Source organism: Homo sapiens, chromosome 10 (genome assembly GCF_000001405.40).
Source record: "Homo sapiens chromosome 10, GRCh38.p14 Primary Assembly".
NCBI classification, from domain to species: domain Eukaryota; kingdom Metazoa; phylum Chordata; class Mammalia; order Primates; family Hominidae; genus Homo; species Homo sapiens.
In genome coordinates this window covers 29,482,462-29,499,340 of record NC_000010.11, presented here as the reverse complement: position 1 = coordinate 29,499,340, position 16,879 = coordinate 29,482,462, and the positions used below count along the sequence as shown (strand labels likewise).

Genomic DNA, 16,879 nt, shown 5'->3' with positions numbered 1-16,879 from the left:
CATGAAATGCTGCAGGCTGAGGTCCACACCGCTGTCATTTCTCTCTCCTGTTTTCTCTTCTGTACATTTATGAACAGCGGGTCACAGAAAGTCGAGAGAGCCAAATGACGATTGAGGAGAGGAAGCAGCTCATCACTGTGAGAGAGGAGGCCTGGAAGACGAGAGGCAGAGGAGCGGCCAACGACTCGACCCAGTTCACTGTGGCTGGCAGGATGGTGAAGAAAGGTCAGTGTGTGTGTGTCCATGTGTGTGGTGTGTGCACAATGCACACACGTGAGCACACTTACCCATGGAGGGCATGGTGGTACGTGATAGCTCAATTTAAAAGAAGAAACCATGGTCTTTTTAAGTTTTTTCTAAGAGACAGGGTCTTGCTCTTTTGCCTAGGCTGGGGTGCAGTGGCTCAGTCATGGCTCACTGCAGCCTCGAACTCATGGGCTGAAGCAATCTTCCCACCACAGCCTCTCTAGTAGCTGGGATTATAGGTGTGCAAAACCATGCTTGGCTTTTTAAAAATTTTTATGTAGAAATGGGGTGTCGCTGTGTTGCCCAGGCTGGTCTCAAACTCTTGGGCTTAAGTAATCCTCCCACCTCAGCCTCCTAAGTAGCTGGGACTACAGGCTTGAGACACCATGCCCAGCCTTCTTTTAAAATTTTTTAAACTTACTGACATTCTATAAATGTTTTTTGTGTAGGTTCTGTGAGATATTTCTACTGAATATCTTTTCTTCATAAATAGTATCTTCTTTAAACTTTATATGATTCTTGGAAGTATTTGAAGGTCATAAAACAGTGATGCATAATTCCATTTGTCACTATTTCAAAACTTACCCATTTGGAATTGAGTGCAAGTGTAGGTTTCAAAAGCAGTTCAAATCTGCTAACAAATTTTGGTCTTTTCCCATAATTACATTTATTTATTTAGACGGAGTTTCACTCTTGTTGCCCAGGCTGGAGTGCAATGGTGTGATCTCGGCTCACTGCATCCTCCACCTCCCGGGTTCAAGCAATTCTCTCGCCTCAGCCCCCCAAGTAGCTGGGATTACAGGCCGCCACCACCATGCCTGGCTAATTTTTCATCTTTTTAATACAGACGGAGTTTCACCATGTGGGCCAGGTGGTCTCAAACTGCTGACCTCAGGTGATCCACCCGCTTCGACCTCCCAAAGTGCTGGGATTACAGGCGTGAACCACTGTGCCCAGCCCCCATAATTACTTTTTTCTTTTTTTTTTTTTTTTTTTTTTTTTTTTTGGTGGAGGGGACAGAATCTCGCTCTGTCTCCCAGGCTGGAGTGCAGTGGCACAATCTCAGGTCACTGCAACCTCTGCCTCCCAGGTTCAAGCAATTTTCCTGCCTCAGACTCCCGAGTAGCTGGGATCACAGGCGCGCGCCACCATGCCCAGCTAATTTTTGTATTTTTAGTAGAGACGGGGTTTTGCCATGTTTGCCAGGCTGGTCTCGAACTCCTGACCTCAGGTGATTCACCTGCCTTGGACTCCCAAAGTGCTGGGATTACAGGCATGAGCCACCCCGCCAGCCCATAATTACTTTTAAATTGTTTCCATTTCCTTCTGACCTGGCAACCATGTACCCTAAGTCAGCCTTTCACAATAAAGAAGTTTATCCCCTCTTCCTTTTAGGTTAATTCCTAGGTCCTTCTCCATCAAACCTGATTTCTCTGACTGACCAAAGCCAAATCCGGATATGCTTTAATAGATGTCTAAAATATGTCCTCAGTTCCTAGGCAGTGGGATGTCCCTGCTGCAATCTTCTGCTGCTGAGCTCTTGGAACTGATTTGATGCCTATATTCAAAAATTTATGAAACTGACTTACATATCACTTGGTTAGTAAAGTTACTGGAGAGCTTTGAGGCTTCATAAGAGTGTTTGGGGCTTTATTTCATATCCTGCAGGAAATGATTAAAATTTGGGTTCCCTTTGTCACCTATATGCACATACCATCACTTTCTAAGCTATTATTTAAAAGCAGATTTCCCATCATAGTGGTATACGTTTTCACATTCACTTGTTCTTAACATCTTGTCATCAAATATAGAGGCTTAGCTTTTCTTTTTCTCAGAACCTTTAATCCACACTTTTATGAAGAGTACCTAACTCATTATAGGTATATAATGAATGTTTGTAGAAGGAAGGGAAGGAGCGAGACGTGGGAAATCCCTGAATGGTGATTAACTCAAATCTTAGTGGGGAATCCTTTCTAACAAATCTATTCTTACCTTATCTTGGAATGGTGAAAATATAATTTACTCTCACAGAATGAGGTACCATTTGCCAATTTTCTGCATCAGATCACAGAACTGGATACTCATGTTTAAACTCCTTTAACGTGAGCCCCAACCCTTCTTTAACAGAAGCACGTCGTTAGGTGCAGGGTGACTAAGTAGAACTGGAACTGAGAACTTGAACCAGACCTCAGGTTTTCCAGCTTCTAGCCCAGGCTTTTATCTTGATGACTTTCCGCTTTGGTTTCTTTTCTTTCTTCCACCTTAAAAACCCTAATTTATTTGTAAGTGGGTTCTTACTACCAAATGCCACTGCCCTTGTCCACATTGACATCTGTGAAAATGTTCCCGAAGAGAGTAGGTGACTGGTTGTTGTACCTAGAATTCATTGAAAAGAGCTATGGGGGAGATCTTTGTTTTGTTTTAACATTTTGTAATTTGCATCTCCCTGCCATGAGCCATTCATTCCCTAAGGATCCTTAGCTAGGTGGGGAGCACGTTTGCATAGTGCCACTGCCTGAACCGCCAGCAGGGGGAGCCATGGCAGCGGGGTTTGCCCGGCACCGGCCAGGACACGGATGGATTTCTCCGGTTGCTTTGGAAACCAGCCTTCAGAGTCAGTCCTGTTCATTAGCTGCGGAGTTAACGGCCTCTGTGCTAATGAACTCCTCTGATGTCTCTTCTCTTAAGCATCCTTCTAGTGAGTAAAGATTTCCCTCCCCACCCTGTGATACCAGATTTTATTTATCATCTTTCAAGAAAGTTTACTTTCTCATGGATGGAAACCCTTTGCAGTTCTGGCAATTGAAACAAATTTTAAAACTTTTATTGACACCATCAATCAAATATATGTATATAATGAGACGTACTTGTAGAATATTACTAAAACTTGAGTTTTAAACCATTTAATGGTTTTTTTTATTAAATTTTTTAATGCTATAATACTTCTCCCATTCACAGGAGGAAGGGGCAGAATCATTTATTCCCTTGGTTTTCCTTGTGATAGTGATTTGCATAACCTCTCGATGTTGTTCGTCCAGGGATGCATTGTCATCTAAGTGGCAATGTCATCTAAGGATTTCACATTTATTACAAATGAGTACAGAGAACATTCACATCTCATTTTGTTTTTTTGTAAATGCACTAATCAGTTTTCTTTCCAATGCCTTCCACTTAGATTAGGGAAGCGATACTCATCCTTCTGTTTACTAAGTTTTCTTCTTCCAGCTGGATACTTTCTCCATGCAGGAATTCCTCCCTTTCCCTTTCATGTGTCTCTCACCACTTGCCCTTTTAAAGATTCCCCACTCTGCTTCTCGGTAAATATACTAGGAAAAGCATTTCCTGTTTCTGCCCACACGGGAGATGGACAGGACTTCCAACACGCACAGTCGGTCCAGACCTGCCCTGGTCTGTAATTTCTTCTGAAAGGTTGGCCCTCCTTGGGTTACTGTCTGTGTCATGTCCCCAGGGCCACTGTCCCTCCCTCCCCTCAGCCTGGAGGAGAGCTCCACTGCGGGGGGCCACTTGCTGGCAAGTGTGACACAGCTCATTCTGCAGATGGCACCAATGCACTCTCAGCTGCCCCTGCCATCTCCGAAGGGCCTCAGAACTCACAGCTGCATTTGCCCAAGTTAACGTGTCATGGACATGTTTTCCCACGTCTCCACCGTTCATTTTGGAATATCGGCTTGTCAGCCACTACAGTCCTTGGAAATAATAAAATCCAGTCTACGTTTGCAGTTGGTTGTCCCACAGTCGTGGTACGTGTGAAATGTGTGTGTGTGTGCCTGCATGTGTGTAAATTCTTATATGTTGTGCCGTCTACCCTGGGATTTCTGGAGATCCACCAGGGTCCCGGAGATTTCCAGAAGTGACCCTGAGATGCTCAGTAGCTCGTCTGTGTGTTCCACAGGTTTGGCGTCACCTACTGCCATAACCCCAGTAGCCTCACCCATTTGCGGTAAAACAAGAGGCACCACACCCGTTTCCAAACCCCTGGAAGGTAAGTCGCCAAGGCCCCGGCCACGCCAAGCAGTTTCTGATCAGAAGAGGCCTTAGTGATGCTGTCTCACTGACGGTTTCTGCTTGCCTAGATATCGAAGCCAGACCAGATATGCAGTTAGAATCGGACCTGAAGTTGGACAGGCTGGAAACCTTTCTAAGAAGGCTGAATAACAAAGGTACCTACTGGAAGCCAGAAGGCTTTGCTCTCAGAATCTCTAAATCCTAATTCTGATTGCTTTTCTTCCTCAGCCAAAAAAAAGAAGTTTTGGTCAAGACTGATTAGAGAAACAAGCCCTGATTCACTTGATAACGTACTAAATTGGGGACTCCCAATAATACATTTTTTTCTTGAATCTAAGCCCTTGGGATGCCATCCAATTGGAATTGTGAACTGAGTGATTTTGCTTATAACTCTGAAAGCAGATTATTATGTGTCGGCAAAATCAACGTGACCTTGGGCCTGGTGAACTTTAAATTGTATGTTATCAATTTCCAATAAGGTAAAAGCTAATATTATTTCATATAATCACAAATGATTTCTAAAAGAAAATTATGGCAAATGAATATTGAAGTAAATGTTTCAATATAAAAGTCAATGCGGTATACCAAATAAAAGAGCAATATGCAAAAACAGCCTTTTATCTCTTGATTAAAATGCCCAATCCTGGAAACTTATCAAATACTAGGCGCTGGGAGTCCCTACTATTGACAGTGACCACTAAAAGGTTGAAAATAATACAACCACCACTGAACAGAAATATAAAAGTGTAATATAATAACTGAACTGGCTAGGCAGGGAATGCCAGTCAGCAACGCATTTATTACACACATGGAGCAGTGATCTAGCCCGTGGGTCAGCAAACGATGGCCATTGCCAAATCCAGCTGCCCACTTGCTTTTTTTTTTTCTTGTTTGTTTTTTAGAGACAGGGTCTTGCTCTGTCACCCAGGCTAAAGTGCAGTGGTGCCATCATAGCTCACTGTAGCCTTGAACTGGACTCAAGCAATCCTCCCACCTCAGCCTCCCAAGTAGGCGGGACTATGGGCGTGCACCACCAAGCCTGGCTAATTTTTTTTCTGTTTTTGTAGAGATGGGGACCCACTATGTTGCTCAGGCTGAAGTCCTGGGCTCAAGCGATCCCCCAGCCTCAGCCTCCCAAAGTGCTGGGATTATAAGCGTAAGCCACCATGCCCAGCCCTGTTTTTGTAAATAAAGTTTTATTGAAACATATCCATGCCCATTTGTGAACTATTGTCAATAGCTTTTGCATTAAGACAGCAGAACTGAGTTGTCGCAACACAGGCCCCATGTCACCCCTCCCCATGCAAAGCCTAAAATGTTTACTGGCTGGCCCTTTTTGGAAAAAGTTTGCCAACCCTTCACGTAGAATGAGGCTGAGGCTGGTTCACCTACCCTCAACAGAAGCAAGGGCAGGTTCAGAAGCGTTCAGTGGGCGCGTGTGTGCAGTATGGTCAGCCTCCCTCTCTCCCATTTTACTGCAGATTTGTTCAGGTGGGAAGTCCTTACGTCAGAGATTAAGTAAGGGCCTGGGAAGCAACCACAGGACCCTGTATATCACAACCGTGTTTCTTCCACTCCTGGAACTTAGGAGGCAATAGAATTTTTAAACTATTGTGAAGCATAATTGGAGTCCTTGTTTTTATAAAACTCTTATGTCTTTTGCTTGTTTGTTGATAGTTGGCGGGATGCACGAAACGGTGCTCACTGTCACCGGCAAATCTGTGAAGGAGGTGATGAAGCCAGATGATGATGAAACCTTTGCCAAATTTTACCGCAGCGTGGATTATAATATGCCAAGAAGTCCTGTGGAGATGGATGAGGACTTCGATGTCATTTTCGATCCTTATGCACCCAAGTGAGTTATTTGGGTCTCCGTCTTTCCTCCACTGAGAAGGGCTTCCTTCGCCTGCAGAGGGCACATCCATGAGGCTTTTCCCCCAGTGTGGCCTCCTTCTCCTTCTAACTCCATCACGGCGGCGTTAGTATTCTAGAGCCAGGGCAAGGTGTTGCAGGAGCCAGGGGCACGGAGCCTCGCAGCAGATAAAACATGCAGACGGCAGACCAGATGTGCATGCAGGCAGACCGCGTGGGCCACAGATGCTTGTCCTGTGCCATAAAGAGGGCGTCACTGGATTTTTCACATAATGTAAATATTGTTTTGCAGTTTTTAGGTTTACATCACTTAGCAGAGAGTTCAACGCCTGTCTTTCATTTGACATATTGAATTCTTGCTCATAATTTTGCAAAATATTTGGATGAGATGGGCTCAAACTAATACAGCTAACTAGAAAATCAGTAAGGCATGTTACTTAGCTTCCAATCATTTATAAAATCAATAGATCTGCGGGCTTTCTCATTGATGTCTAAGGGTTTCTCTTCCCAGGGGAACATGACTAAACCAACTAGGAAAAGTGATTATGGTATTAGGAGTCCGTCAATTTCAAGTGCCAAGAAAAAGATCCCAACTCAAACTGATTTCAGCAAAAAGAAAAGTGCGGAGGGCTTTGTCGGCTCACTGGCTGAACAGTGCGGAGGGGTTTGCCGGCTCAGCCACTGAACAGTGCGGAGGGGTTTACTGGCTCACGCGCTGAACAGTGCAGATGTGGCCTCGGGTTCTAGAGGCCCCTCAGAACACAGTCTGTCTTGGCTGTTTTCCTTTGGGCTGGCCTCACTCTCCGTCAGGCAGCGGCCTGGCGGCAGATGGACACCCCAGCTCTGGAGTCACAAGGCTGCCTCCCTGGCCAGCCCAGCACGGGTAGCTTTTCTTCCCAGTAGTCCAAGCAGAAGTTCCAGGTTTGATTTTCTTGGCTTCAACTTGAGCCCCCTGTCCATCCCTAAACCAGTCACTGTGGCCAATGGGATAGAAGATGCTGACTGGGTAAAGGCGGGGCTCTGGGTCTCCTTTAGAGCCACGATGGGGGTGCAGTGAGGTGGTTTCCCCAAAGGAAAATCCAGATGCTATTACCAGAAGCAGAGGGAGACACGCTAGACAGGCTCCACCCACGGCAATCCACCACATCCATCTGCTCTTAACTGCAAAATTGTCAGTGACATATACCATTTTCTACAAGCTGCTCCTGATAAATTCTTTGCATATTCCAGTTTGCTCAATTTGTTTCAGTTTGCATGTTTTAATTTCCTACCTTAAAAAATGAGCCCTTTGCCATTTTCTACTTCAAAATAGTATTTTGGGTATTTGCATACATAGCGGTTTAACCATTTCTCAATCTTCCGCCCACACAATGTCACTGTTTAAGTAGTTGTATATCATAATTTAAACATATTGATAGACACATATGACACCATGGTACGTAAAGACGCCTTTTGGGCACAGAGGCCCGCGCAGCTGGAGGTGGAGAGTGGCAGCAGGAGTCTGTTGGGAGATCGCTTCTCTCGGTCTGCTCACCTTCCCTAGTCTGGTTTTCCACCCCAAAGAATTGTGAGAATGTGGGGTGGTCACAGATGGTTGCGGGCCTATTTTATTTCAATATAGTCTTCCAAAAAGTGGTTATTTTTCAGAGGAGGCAGTGCGTTAAGTGGAAGCTAGTCATGGAGGGTCAGTAAGGGGACCGAAAGCTATTGCATAGGGAGAAAGTTTAGGCCGAGCGAAGAGGATTACGTCAAGGAGCCCGTGCAAATTCCCGAAGGGCTTGCCGGAAACAGACAAGTAGACATGGGTGTATGATTCCAAAGCGAGAATTAGGACGTGTGCATGGGCGTGGTAGGGGGGAGGGAAGAGCTCCCTAAACCCTAGAGCTGTCTAGCAGAGCCGTGAGCTGCCCGGAAGTACTCCACACCCTCCCAGGAGGAGACCAAGGGGCATGAGTGAGTGGGGGCATCCGGGTGTGGCTGAGATTTGAACTCAGTGGGCTTGCATCCCTCTTCCATCTCCAAGATTCTACGACTCCATGTCAGGGGAGTGGCGGTGGGAGGAAGAGTTGCAAGATTTGTAACAAAATCAGGAAATACTTTGTGGAGTCCAAGACCCCCAGGTCATCCAGGGGTGGTGGTGTCACAGACTGGGACCGCGGCTCTGCTTCCATCCGCAGATTGACGTCTTCCGTGGCCGAGCACAAGCGGGCAGTTAGGCCCAAGCGCCGGGTTCAGGCCTCCAAAAACCCCCTGAAAATGCTGGCGGCAAGAGAAGATCTCCTTCAGGAATACACTGAGCAGAGATTAAACGTTGCCTTCATGGAGTCAAAGCGGATGAAAGTAGAAAAGAGTGAGTATTTGAACCCCCACCCTGCTTCTGTGTTTGGGAATGGCTTCTTCCGATGCTCTACTCATTGCTTGGTTTTCTGCCTTGTGAAGGCCAATAATGGTGCTCAGAAGACCCTCATGAAGTAAAAAGGAGTAAGTTTGCACATACATGTGCACGCACCTAGACTTTAAAGATTTTTCATAGAAATTCTCAAAGTGTGTATCACCTGTTCAGTTAGTTAATTCAGATTATACTGGGGTTTGGTTTTTTTTTTTTTTTTTTAAAGACTGGGGGTTTCATCATATTGCCCAGGCTCATCTCAAACTCTCTGGCCTCAAACAATCCTCCCACCTTGATCTCCCAAAGTGCTGGGATTACAGGCACAAGCCACCGCACCCGGTTACAAATTACCCTGTTTTGTTGAGTTTTTTTCTGGAAGTTAGAAGAGATGGATATTTCTGAGTATGGTAATTCAGCCATTTTCAGCTCTGTAGATCCTGAACACACAATCATTCTTCATTTAATCTTATTAGTCGTTTGATCTCTTATAGTAAAAGAGTTATTTGATCTCTTATAGTAAAACACTTCAAATCACTGGAGTATCTAATCCTAGATTTTTATATTATTAATTAACACAAACGCCAGTGCTTTTCAGATCGTTCTTGGTAGGACCCTGAGCTTCTCGGAGTTGGGATGTGGGCTGGAGGGAGCAGGGGGAGCTGGCAGGGGCGATGAATGGAGGCGAGGAGATGGGCTCCAGACTCTCAGTCTCACTGTAGGCTGAGCCACACTGCTCTCATCTGCCCAGTAATGTGGGGTTCCATCATTCTGAAACAGTGATTTTCTTGGTTTGAGGTGATAGCATGCATAATCTTGATTTTTGGGATAATCTTGCTATAATTTTCATTTTCCCATAACACTCATAGACCTATTTCCTAATGTTTTTCTTAGAAATATAGTATTTAGATGAAGTGGTTGAGTCTTTTTGTTATAACTGGTTTACTATGAAAGTATATTTCAGACTGGGCATGGTGGCTCATGCCTGTAATCCCAGCACTTCAGGAGGCAGAGGCAGGAGGATCACTTGAGCCCAGGAGTCTGAGACCAGCCTGGGAAACATAGCAAGACTTCATCTCTACAAAAAATGAAAAAATTAGCCAGGTGTGGTGGCACTCACCTGGGGTCCCAGCTACTCAGGAGGCTGAGGTGGGAGGATCACTAAACCCCGGGAGGTCAAGGCTGCAGTGAGCCATGACTGCACCACTGCACTCCAGGCTGGGCGACAGAGCCACACCCTTTCTCAACAACAACAACAAAAAAAGTGTATTTAAAAAGCACAACACCATAATGAATTGACAAGTGGTATTATATGTCTTCAAACCTAATCCCAGTGAAATAAATTTCTGAATTTCTCTCTAGCATATACATTTTTAAAACAATAAGTTGGAGAAATAAATGTTGGCACAGATTTTACATATGTTTCCTCTGCCTCCACTTTTGGGGGCTCAGGGGTTGGATTAGTGATGACTGACCGGTCTATAGATGTTTGCTGTTTTGCAGTGAAAACCCATCTTATAACTACAGTCTTAACTCTAAGAGCAGAAGATCTCAAGATATCATCTGGCTGATCACTTTGCCTTCAGATAAAGATTAGAACCTAATCATCCCTTACAGAGTGTCTACTTTTTTGTTTTCTTTATGTATAAAGGCTTTTGGTGAAAGCGGTCTAACAGTCATCTGGCATCTATACATTTGGACATGTAAAAGTTGTTAGGATTTAGAACAGCTTTCAGTGGAATTGCAACAAGTGCATCCAGCTCCTGGTTTTGTACTAAAGTAGCTGGTCCACGTCATCACTCAGTTCTTGTCCCTCTGCACAGCATGGAGTGACACTTGTCAACAAGCAGTTTATATTTTCAATGCTGTACTTAATTCTTAACACAGTGGTTAAGCATTGAATTGCACATTTAATCAAACTTGAGTATGTTTTCCCTCTCGGGATTAACTTGAAAAGACAAAGGTGTTGAGTCAGTTATGAATAATTTCTGACTGTAAATATTGTCACTGTAACTGAACCTCCTGCGTTGTGTTTCCTTATTCAACGTGCCCAGTGTCTTCCAACTCCAACTTCTCAGAAGTCACCCTGGCGGGTTTAGCCAGTAAAGAAAACTTCAGCAACGTCAGCCTGCGGAGCGTCAACCTGACGGAACAGAACTCTAACAACAGCGCCGTGCCCTACAAGAGGCTGATGCTGTTGCAGATTAAAGGTATTTCAGAGCAGCCTGGCACGGTGACTCAGGGCCCGTGGTTTCTGTCTGGTCCCATACGGAGTCCTGACTCTGTAATTCATTGCCTGTGCCGGGAAAGGAACGCACACTTTTTGAGAACTTATTGTGTGTTCCTTGCTATGCAACCTCCTGTCTCTCAAGCTTCCCCAAATCCCATGACATAGGAAGTATTCTGCCCACCAGGGCTTCCAGAGGCAGGAACGTGTCTGGAGTCCCAGCAGCTACTGGGTGGCAGAGCTGGATTTGAACCCAGGTCCCCCCACTCCAGAATCCCAGCTTTTACTCCTGGCGCCCCGTGCCCCACGAAGCGGTCACACATCCATGCAGTTACCAGAGGTGCCCTACATCATCAGAGGGGCTCTCTGCTCTCTGCCCAGTTCTCCCCGAGTCAGTACAGAACTGGGGAGGAAGACACAGCTTGGAGAAGGAATCAAGGGAAGTTCGACGCAGATGAAGCCCACCTGCATTCCGCTCTAGTGCCCTTCCTGTCCGTAGCAAGGGAGATTCCAAAGATGAACCAGGGCGTCTCTGGGCCATGAGGAGGAGACTCGGCTGCCTCCTGGTGGCCACTGTATAGATGAATCCTTGAGATGAGAATGAAGGAAATATCCTCTCCCTCCAGGAGGGTTTCCCACATGTTTCTGTGTAACCACTATCCTATTGTGTGTATTTAAAAAGACTAGTGACAAGCTCAAATAACCAATCTCTGTCCTGAGTCCTAACCCAGAGACTACATGATCTGTTTAATTGTGGAAAGCTCAAAATCAACAAATATTTAGGAAAAGGTGTTGAAAGCCACAGAAGGTGGCGCCTCCATCCTTCCTGTTGAGAGGCCCCTAGGGTTCATAGTGGAAACTCCCCAGGGGAAGAGCCGACCCTTCCTGAAGGCGTGGCTTCCCTTGCCTGGGCCACAGATGTAATTGGGTGCAGGAGGTGGCCAGGGGAGAGAAAGGCCCCGGGAGAAGAGTGAAGGAGGGAAAAGGAGCCTGTGTGCTCATCTCCCTGGAAGGGGGAGCCTTCATTAACCCACGCACATGACACTGATAATGGTCCTGAGAAGTGGGTGACATTTGGGAAAGCACAAACCAGGAAAGCAGCCGCTAGTGCCATCATCATGCCCTTTCTAAATCCCCCTGCTGCCACCCTGGGCCATGGGCACTCTTATTAGCAGACAAGACTCTTTAGAAGTGAAAGCGTCCGCAGCAGGGATGCTTCCGATATGGGGTGCGTCCTATCCCCGTTCTGTCTGGAAAGACGGTGACTGTCTGCCTCGTGTTCAGGAAGAAGACATGTGCAGACCAGGCTGGTGGAACCTCGAGCTTCGGCGCTCAACAGTGGGGACTGCTTCCTCCTGCTCTCTCCCCACTGCTGCTTCCTGTGGGTAGGAGAGTTTGCAAACGTCATAGAAAAGGCGAAGGTTGGTACCTGAAAAATAAAAATGCTTTAGCTAACATCTCCTTTACGCACCGGAGGAGTGTTCTTCCTGACGTCAGTCACAAAGCTTCTCAAAAGCCAGGTGTTGCATTCAAGTGAGAAGGGATAGGTAGGATTTCTTTTCCTGAATGTCTCTCAAACAAGCTTTCATTACATGTTTAAATGGGATACTTTAGGACTATGACCTACACCCCAGTGTTTAGGTCCTGGGTTCCTTCCTACTCCTGTGTAAAAAAGGAAGCGGCCCCACTTTAAAGTCCTTTATCCCAGGTAGCTCTGAAGTTCTGCCATAGACCTGTTGAATGAGACTGTCATGGGGTAAAGCCCAAAGAATAGTGTTTTTTAAAAGCATCACATGTGACCTATTGAAGATGGAGAACTATTGCTCTAAAGAATTGATACTCCCTGGTCTTTCAGTTACATTTTCTTGAGGTCATTGAAAATACCCAGTAACCAGCATCCACCCACACCCGTGGTCACAAGGCTTTCCTTGCAGGCACACTGTTTCTCCTCTCTGGTTTTGACATGTGCCACTCTGTCTAGCCAAGGGCTTTTCTACCCAGGCAATTGTGTTCCTCTCTTTTTTAGGCCTCAGAACTTGCAACTTTAATTCAGACAAAGAGGGAACTTGGTTGTAGAGCTACTTATATCCAAACCATTGAAGAAGGAATTAATACACACACTCATGCAGCCAAAGACTTCTGGAAGCTTCTGGGTGGCCAAACCAGTTACCAATGTAAGACTTCATTGTACTTCAGAGATTGACGAGACTTGAATCTCCTTTCTTCTCCCTTAGCTCATTCTTCTATTTTACATTGTAAATAAAATTTTACAATGTGAAATTCATTCACATTTTACATTGCAGCTACTTTGCAATGTAAAATGTGATGCTCTCCTGTTCTTCTTATCCCCAAGCTGCTGGAGACCCAAAAGAAGATGAACTCTATGAAGCAGCCATAATAGAAACTAACTGCATTTACCGTCTCATGGATGACAAACTTGTTCCTGATGACGACTACTGGGGGAAAATTCCGAAGTGCTCCCTTCTGCAACCCAAAGAGGTACAGTCCGTGGGCTCTGCCCTTCAGTGAGAAACCACATTGAAAGCACTCAGCACAGGCTGCCCAATAGATTAGAGAGTAAGTTCCCAATAAAGGTTAGCCAGTGTCGGTATCCATTGTAGAACATTTACAGCTTTTTAAAGGATATTTGTGATTTCAAACCATTACTGGTATCTTAAATGCTAATATGGAATCCAGAATATCATTTAGAGTTGGCATGGATCATTGAAGGCTTTTATATCTTAGGCAAAATACAAATATTACTTAGCCCTATCTTTTGCATTTTGCATAAACATTATAATAAAATATTTTTAAATCCTTAAGTTTAAGGAACACTAGATGCATGCATATATAATTTATGGATTTCCCAATTAATGTGCTGTTTTTGTCCTGTCACAGCAGTAAATATTTATTAATTACATACATTTCCAGTATCATTAAGCATGCTAAGTGTTGAGAAAGTGGAAGACACGCAGGCCCTTAAGTTTAATTGGGTGGAAGAGTATTAGAAGGAATGTAATCTGGAGCAAGGTTGACTGTGTGACATGTATGGGCATTTACATGAGGGAAAAGTCACAGAAAAAGAAACCTTCAGGAATAATTTTACATAGAAAGTGAAATTGAGCCTAGTTTAGAGTTAAGCAAAATTTGAATTGCTGGAAGTGAAGGGAGAACTCATTCTAGGAGAAAGAATAAAATGAACCATGAACATAAGAAATAGCATTACATTCATGTATTCATTCAGCAAACACTTAGTAATCAACCCCTCCTGTATGTATCACCATGATCTGATCCCTGCCCTTAAGGATCTTGGAATTGTGTACTGGAGAGAAGACACCACTGGACCATGAGTGCCTGCGGTATATGAAGTGGCCTCTGTGTATATATTAAGTGAATGAATGAGCACATGAGAGGGGGAGGAATAGGGGAGAGAGGCAGGAAGTCGACAGGAAGATGTACCTAAAGAACTCTTGTGAATCGCAAGTTGTAAGCAGGTTGAGAGTTCAGAGGAGGGAACATTATCCTGGCCACTTAGGACACTGGGAGGAGGAATCGTGCCCGCAGGGCAGAGGCTGGCTCGGTGGGGCAGTGCCAGCTGAGATCTCCTGGCCTTTTTGTGTCTGTGTTGGTCGCCCCGTTAGGATTTCTGTCTTCCTCCGTTTGACTCACTGTCAACAAGAGACCCTGTTGCACCTGATTCAACTGTTGCATGTTCTTGAAGTTAACAAATTCTTTTGTGCCATTTCTCCCAGGTACTGGTGTTTGATTTTGGTAGTGAAGTTTACGTATGGCATGGGAAAGAAGTCACATTAGCACAACGAAAAATAGCATTTCAGCTGGCAAAGCACTTATGGAATGGAACCTTTGACTATGAGAACTGTGACATCAATCCCCTGGATCCTGGAGAATGCAATCCGCTTATCCCCAGGTACTCCTGCCGCCGCCCGGGGACAGCTCTTCAAGCGAGCTGATTCCCTTCGATCCCTCTGTTCTCACCACAGTCCTCTACTCTCGCTCTTTATAGGGTTCAGTTTTCATAAACGATTATATGCAGTGGACTGTGAATATTCACAAAAGGAACAGTTCTTTAACTTTTATCTAACTATTGCAGAAATATGGATGTCGTAGTCTTCTGGAAGAGGTTTGTTATAGTTGATTTCTTGAAGTGAGCAAGAAATGCTGCAAGTTCCTCCCTGCGGCATTACAAGTGCTGCTGTGGCAGATGAACAGCAATTGTTTAAACAAATTACATGCGGATCTGAAAGGCTTCCCCGGGTCTGGAATTCAGCCATTGATCTGAAAGTGCAAAAGCAACATGCCTCCCTCTAATTTCATACCTTCCCAGCATCGCCCTCGAATTTCAGGATTTATTTGGCAGCAGATGATGTTTATGTCTTTATATCTTTTGGGAAGGGAAGAGGGGGAGGAGATGGTGTTAAAATAATGATTGCAATTGTAATATTCCCTGCATGTACTAGACTCTTTAAAGTCATTTTGGCAATTCAATAGAATATGTGCAAAGTCAGAAATTATGATGTTGGAAAAAATAATTCCTACGTGCAAAGGATTGTTGTTTTTTCAACTATCAGACCAAAAAAAAACTAGTGCTTTTTAACTATGGGTGCCGTTATAATAGATTAGAAACCAGTGAACCACCAAACAGCATAGAATATTGGGCATCTCCCAATACATTTTAATGTTTTCCATTGAATTGGTCTATGAATTTCAACTTTCCTGCCTAGTTTCCTGCTTAAAATCCAATTATTGATTTTCTTATTAATTAATCATTATAGAAACCATTAAAAATTATGGCAGTGTGATAAGTTTTAAAGTCCTTGTTAAGCAAATGCACTAATGTTTAACCTCAGTATGGTAACAACCATTATTTTAAGGACTGGAACTACAGCTCAGAAGATTTTATTTGGTATAGCAAAGGAAAAAAGAACAAGCTAAAGCATAAAATCTATGTGATAGCCAACTGTATTTAATAGTGGCATAATCACAGATCTGAAAGTGGATGACTGAGCTCCTAACCCACTGGTTTTCAACATCTCTGAGACAGAATCACCTGAGGGGCCTTTTAAAAAATGCATTTGCTCAGCCCAGCCCCAGAGATGTGTTTTCGTTTCATGTGAGTTAGAGCTTATGTGTCAATATGTCTTAAAAGCTCCTAGGGATTTTAAGATGCAGCCAGGATTACATACCCAGACCTTCTTAGCAAATGAGGCTGAAACCACTGAGCCCAGTTCCAGCTGTAAGTCAGGGAAGGGGGTAGAGAAACCCCTGGCTCCTGGCCCAGGTTTGTCCCCCTCACCCTGCAATCTGCCACATCGCTTGCTCACAACGCTTCAAAACATAAATGCCAGATTCCAAAGCAGAAACCAAGAGCCCTTTCAATCATCATCTTAGCAAGCCTGCAGAGTAGGACTGACATAACAAACAGTCATTCAGATATTTTCTGATAAAGACCACAGCCTTTCAAGACCGCCGTGCATTTTCCATAGGTGCTTATGTTTGGTTCCTAAAGTCCCATAAGAGCATGAGGTAGAAGTGTCTGTGCTCTATGATTTATCCGGCAGCTTTCTTTGAATCAGGCAGCCTTTCTGATGTGCCTCAGCTGTGACATCAGCAGCTGTGGTCTTGACCAAGCAGGAAGTGACTGAGGCAGTAGCACAGCAGGGCACGAGCAGCAAGGGGGGTTGCTCTAAGGGGTGGCTGCATTCCGGGCCGGATTCACAACCGAAGATGGATCTGGAGGGATGAGAGATCGTGCATGTTATTCCAGGGCTACGCCCTCTGCAGCACGTGTATCTTCTCAGCTCTGCCTTTATCTAAAATACCTGTGTTCTTGGGGACAGTGTAAATTTTGAAATCCTAAGGCCACACAAGACCTCCGGGTGGAGCTATGCCGTTTTCTTTCCTATCTCTCTGTGCTCTCCTGTCTGCTGCCCTGGCCAGTGGCCTAGAAATAAGTGCACAAAAAGGCACTTCAAGATCTATGAAAGTGTGTTCATTTTAGTGACGGGAGAATCTCCATACTCTGGAGAGCTTTGTTGTAACATGACATAAAATAGTAGAGAATTGAGGAGGGAGCTACCTCTTCCCTATGTCTATTAATTAAT

At 44.7% G+C, this 16,879-nt stretch overlaps 1 protein-coding gene and 1 long non-coding RNA gene across 8 annotated transcripts in view, besides 1 other annotated feature; one reads left to right on the top strand and one right to left on the bottom strand.

The window, feature by feature from the left end:
- SVIL (supervillin) overlaps nucleotides 1-16,879 on the top strand; it is a 279,599-nt gene that overhangs the window by 237,596 nt on the left and 25,124 nt on the right. For all 4 annotated transcript variants that reach the window (NM_001323599.2, NM_021738.3, NM_001323600.1 and 1 more), the window contains 10 exons: nucleotides 78-225; nucleotides 4,160-4,249; nucleotides 4,341-4,427; nucleotides 5,950-6,127; nucleotides 8,322-8,494; nucleotides 10,585-10,740; nucleotides 12,042-12,178; nucleotides 12,784-12,931; nucleotides 13,111-13,256; nucleotides 14,510-14,685. In NM_001323599.2, coding sequence (NP_001310528.1) covers nucleotides 78-225; nucleotides 4,160-4,249; nucleotides 4,341-4,427; nucleotides 5,950-6,127; nucleotides 8,322-8,494; nucleotides 10,585-10,740; nucleotides 12,042-12,178; nucleotides 12,784-12,931; nucleotides 13,111-13,256; nucleotides 14,510-14,685 — 1,439 coding nt within the window. The remainder of the gene's footprint in view (nucleotides 1-77; nucleotides 226-4,159; nucleotides 4,250-4,340; nucleotides 4,428-5,949; nucleotides 6,128-8,321; nucleotides 8,495-10,584; nucleotides 10,741-12,041; nucleotides 12,179-12,783; nucleotides 12,932-13,110; nucleotides 13,257-14,509; nucleotides 14,686-16,879) is intronic.
- Nucleotides 2,482-2,983: an enhancer, noted in NCBI's record as "NANOG hESC enhancer chr10:29785287-29785788 (GRCh37/hg19 assembly coordinates)". NCBI's record gives its function as "activates a minimal SCP1, AML or CMV promoter by ChIP-STARR-seq in primed H9 embryonic stem cells {active_cell/tissue: H9 hESC(primed)}" and the evidence as "EXISTENCE:reporter gene assay evidence [ECO:0000049][PMID:30033119]".
- SVIL-AS1 (SVIL antisense RNA 1) overlaps nucleotides 11,485-16,879 on the bottom strand; it is a 78,323-nt gene continuing 72,928 nt past the window's right edge. For 3 of the 4 annotated variants that reach the window (NR_110920.1, NR_110921.1, NR_110922.1), the window contains one exon: nucleotides 13,634-16,508. This is a non-coding gene — a long non-coding RNA (SVIL antisense RNA 1). Of the gene's footprint in view, nucleotides 12,187-13,633; nucleotides 16,509-16,879 lie in introns of those variants that run through there. The other variant, NR_110927.1, reaches the window with a different exon arrangement.